Below are 4,937 nucleotides of genomic sequence, written 5' to 3' on the forward strand. Positions count from 1 at the left end.
TGTAACCGTATGCAGAAAAAGGCATCCTTTAAATCTAGAACTGTAAACCATTTAGTTCCCTCAGATATGTGAATTAACGGGGTATAGGGATTAAATACCACTGGGTGGATTGGAACTACAGCTTCTTTAATGAGGCGGAACTAGTCCTGAACTAGTCTCCATTCCCCATTGGCTTTCTGCACTCCTAATATTGGGGTGTTTCAGGGGCTACTATAGGGTTTGAGGAGGCCCTGCATCTTTAGGTTATTAATAATAACTTCTAACCCTTTCCTAGCCTCTGGCCTTAGGGGATACTGCCTCTGATTAGGAAAAGAAGTAGGATTCTTAAGATGGATCTGGACTGGTCTAGCAGTTATAGCTTGACCTATTCTTCCTTGAGTTGCCCACATTTCTGGATTAATATTAGCTTCCATCAGGAGGGGACAAAGAGTTTGTCCTGGGGCTATAAGGATGCTTGCCCCTGTGTGAACAAGAATATCTCTACCCAATAAAAGAGTGAGACTTTCAGGCATGATTAAAAAGCCATTTGTAAATAATAGGCCCCCATCTTCAGCTAACAGATTGAGAAAAATATCAGGTTAGAGTTTTTCCTGAGACACCCCTCACAGTCTTGCTATGGGAAGAGGGGAGGCCTGGATTACAGAGAAGAGAGAGGCTGATTCCAGTATCCCTAAGGGATCTACCTTCCTTCCTTCAATTTCCAGAATCAGCCAGGGCTCCTGTGTGGTAATGGCAGTCTGAGCCCCAGCTGAAGCTGGGGGATTGAGCCCCGGGACCCATCAGTCCTGCTGGACCATCTGCAAGACAGGTCCTGAACCCAGTGAGCTCTGTTTCCAGGGGCAGTTTGATCTCCAGTGGTCTCTGCCATGGGCTGGACAGGGTTGAGGTGGCTTGTTCTTTCTGCCTGGGCATTCCTTCTTAAAATGCCCTGACTTTCCACATTAATAACAGCTGGTAGATGCACCTTGGAGATCCTGGACTTTGCAAGCTTGCAAGGCTGCTAATAGAGGCTCTGTCCTTCTCTTGTGTTTCCTCTCCTTTTCTTGGGCCTCCTCCTGATCCCTATTGTAAAAGGCTGAAGTGGCTATTCTCAGGAGGTTCTTTAGGGTGCTATCTGGTCCTATAGCTTACTTCTGCAGTTTCCTTCTAATGTTGGAAGCTGCCTGTGTAATAAACTTCTCCTTCAGGATGAGCTGTCCCTTGACTGAATCAGAGGATAAAGAGGCATGTCTTATTAGTGCCTCTCTCCACCTTTCCATAAAGGCTGTGGGTTTCTCATCTGGTTTTTGGTCTATCATGGACAGTTTAGAGTAATTAAGAGGTTTAGCCCTGGTTTATCGTAGGCCCTCTAATATGCACATTTAAAAGTGCTTTCTTTTCCATTTATCTGCTGAGTTATTGAGGTTCCAATCAGGGTTGTCTACTTGAACTGCTTCTCTTCCTAGTGGGAATGGAGTTTCCATTACTTCTTCACCTTCCCTATCTCCTTTTTTTCTCTTTGGTCTGCCATAGGAGATGTTGTTCATCTTCATATTTTTCTGCTGCCTGCAGAACTGCTTGCTTTTCAGCTTCAGTGAGGCCTGACTTAGGAGCAACATAACATCCCTCCATGTGAGGTCAAACACCTGAGTTAAATTTTGGAAAATTTCTATATATTTATTGGGGTCATCAGAAAATCTGCTTAAGTCTCCCTTTAATTGCTTAAGGTCCTGTAATGAGAAGGGAACGTGAACCCTCATGGCACGATTTTCATCAGGCACTTCCTGCAGAGATAAGAATGAAGTGGGGAAAGTGGGTAATACTGGAGATGGTGGACCTGGAGGACCTGATGGTATGATTGGAGGGGCTTCTGGATGAGGGGAACTGAGTTGAGACATTCAATAGCTGTCTCAGATTGCTCCTCTGGAATCTGCTTTAGCTCTGGGGGACTATTCCTTGTGGGCTTGCCTGTCATGCTGCTAAAAGAACTGGGTCAATTGTACAAAGCTTGTAAAGGTCTGGGTCGTCTCGCAGGGCAAAGAAAGCCTGTACATTGGGTATCTCAGACCATTTGTCCTTCCATCTGCAGAAAATATCTAATTGTTGGACAGTATTAAAATGAAGGCTCCCCCCAGCAGGCCAGGTTTGTCTGTCTTAAAGATGGTAAGAAGGCCATGCCCTTATGCCATAGAATATGAGGTGCTCTTTCTACAAAGTCTCAGGGTTGAAGCAGTCCCAGTGCTTTAGAATATACTCCAGGGGAGTACATGCTGAACATGATCTGTTACCCATCTAGAAAGAGAAGTGAGAAAAAGGTGTCTCTTTTGTCTCCTTCCTCTCTCTGTATAACCCAGAGTGGAGAAGAAGACAGTGGGAGCGTCCCCCCAACTGTTTTCCTTCCTTGGTTCCTGGGTCCCAGCACCCTGTTAAATGTGCTGCCCATGGTTGTATGTGTGACCCTCCAAGCCATGGCACCAAAGAAACCAAGCAACTGGGGCTAGTCATGCTCATTCAAGTAGCTCTAGTCCTCTGCCTGTGATTTCCCTTTGACTTCCTAGACTTGTGTGACCTGTGTGCCTCCCTTAAAAAAAATTGACCTTGGGAAAGATTATATAAAAGGCAAGTGTCCTTTAATGGAGGGAATGTGCTAGATTGCCTGCTACTATGGCCCGTGTTAAAGCCTTAACCCTTAGAAAAATGGTTCTGGTTAACTTTCAGACTTAAAATCCCCTTACTAATTAAGGACTGTCTTATTGGAGACAGAATAGTTTCCTTAAAGGGATGTGGGGGCCTAATCGTGACTTTCCTGTTGATGGGACAGGATCAGGACTCAAATTTGGCTGCAGAGGACAATTTACTCCTAATTGTTGAAGGCAGAATTTTCCTGTTCACAGAAGCAGCATAAAGCCTGGTTTCCAGTAGGAAGGGGCAAAAAGGAAAAATTAGGAAGCTGCGGTGGACTGTAGCGGACAAGCAATGCGTCTTATGAAGAGGGTGTCTATTTCCACTAGGTGGCGCTGTTGGCTTAGGAATACTATGTGCCACCAGCAGCATAGTAGGGACTCATCTCACAACCGGGGTTTCAGAGACCTCTGTTCCTAGAAGATTGCAACAGCATTTTCCTGAGCTATAGCCCCGGTTATTACAGCATTTCCTGATCTTGCCTAACAGGATTACTTCCCTAGGCTGTAAAAATTCCCACACATTCGACACACAAAGAGAATAAGAGGCATAGCGACCGTGGATAGAAACAGAAAAAAAGTTTTGCGACAGGATAACTGGGGATCTTTTACCAACACCTGGGCAGGCTGCTGGAGGCTGAGTCCGGTCCAGAAGCTTTTGAATAACACTAGGAAATGCCCTGGCCAGAAATTCTCAGTTGCTTCAGAACTTTTCCCCGCCTTATGCAATGGCTAATTTTCCCCATGAACAGAAAAGCTGGTTTGAAGCACGGCCAACATTCCCAATGACCCAGGGTATTGGAGGGAGGGGGGTCTTCATGTTCTCCCCAGCAAGGCTGACATGCGAGTCTTTAAGAATGGCAGCCACACTAAGCATATCTAGATGGTTGACAGATGCTGTTATTGATTTGATTTGATTTTAAAATGGAAGCCAAGAGCCTCGGAATGAAAGGACAGGTTTTGAGTTTGCTCTTCTGCTCACCAACCCCAATGGATATTGTACCTTGGTTTCCCAGCCAACGCACCAAAAATGATATGGGTCTGTTGTCTGGAGAAACACCCAAGGTCCTTGTTCTCGCACGGAGAAAATTAGCGACACGGATACACGTGGAGTGGTTTAAGGAGTGGAATGTTTAATAGGCAAGAAAGAAGAAAACAGCTCCCTCATACAGAGGGAGGAGGGCTCCAAATGGAAAACCCCACATGTAGCAGAAAGCAGTCGGTTATATTGGGAGGCTGGACGACGTGGTGTTTGGTTTGCATAGGAGCCAGGGGATTGGTTTGACCAGGTGTGTCATTCACATAGCCTGCAAAAAAGCCAGCTCTCCCACCCTAGCCTTTAAATATGCACATATGGCTACCTGGCTGGTCACCATGATGTTCTGCATACGTGGCAACAAAGAAAAAGTCACGGGAACCACCATATTGGTTGGACCTGGCTTCTAGCCACCAGCATTTGCATATCAATGCTTGCAGGTCTGGTTTTTCAGGCCACTTTCTGTTAGAAAAGAAATGTTTTGGGGCTTGCTTTTTTATTAAAAGAAAAAGCCTTACCAAGGACTCTTTTCCCCTCTCTTGCTGCCTAAAATAATTTCTTAATAACTCCTGTAATACTAGTGATTCTTCGATCAGGAATACAACTTTTCTATAATTTGTGATTTCAAACGTGTCAAGATGGCAGTGACATCATTTTTTCCCATGTGCTTTCTGCTTCTTCGCTTAGAAAATCAGTGGCAGATTTCTCCCAGTAAAGAAGACATATTATTTTAATGTTGCCAAATATTTTATAAATTATTCCCTGACTTATGCTCAAACAGTGACTATAGTTGAAACATCATCCTGCAATGAAGCTCAAAGTATACCAGTCTTACCTATGCGTTCAGAGCTTCAAACAGTTTTTAAAATCTCCGTCTTTAAACGTGAGAAGATAAGCAAGAATTAACAGTTGAAGAAGGCTTCTTTTGTGAAAGAAAAGTACTGGGAAAACAAAACAAAACAAAACAAAAACTGGAGGAGAGAGATAATATAAAAAAGAAAATGTTTAAAGCTTATCGTTGTCTTAAAAGAAGTTTCGTTAATTAAACAAAAAGAGCTTTCTGATTTTAAAATTACTGTAGGCCAGGCATAGCAGTTCGCACCTGTAATCCCAGCAATTTGGGAGGCCTAGGCAGGTGAATTACTTAAGCTCAGGAGTTCAAGACCAACCTGGGCAATATGGCAAAACCCCATCTCTACAAAAAATACAAAAATTAGCCAAGTATGGTGGCACATGTCTGT

At 44.1% G+C, this 4,937-nt stretch overlaps 1 non-coding gene across 1 annotated transcript; it reads left to right on the forward strand.

Moving 5' to 3' along the window:
• The first annotated feature begins 3,669 nt into the window (after positions 1 to 3,669).
• Positions 3,670 to 3,718, forward strand: MIR7977 (microRNA 7977). Its single transcript, NR_107017.1, has one exon. It is a non-coding gene; the product is annotated as a microRNA 7977 (primary transcript).
• Positions 3,719 to 4,937: the final 1,219 nt, after the last annotated feature.

Source organism: Homo sapiens, chromosome 3 (assembly GCF_000001405.40).
Source record: "Homo sapiens chromosome 3, GRCh38.p14 Primary Assembly".
Classification (NCBI taxonomy): domain Eukaryota; kingdom Metazoa; phylum Chordata; class Mammalia; order Primates; family Hominidae; genus Homo; species Homo sapiens.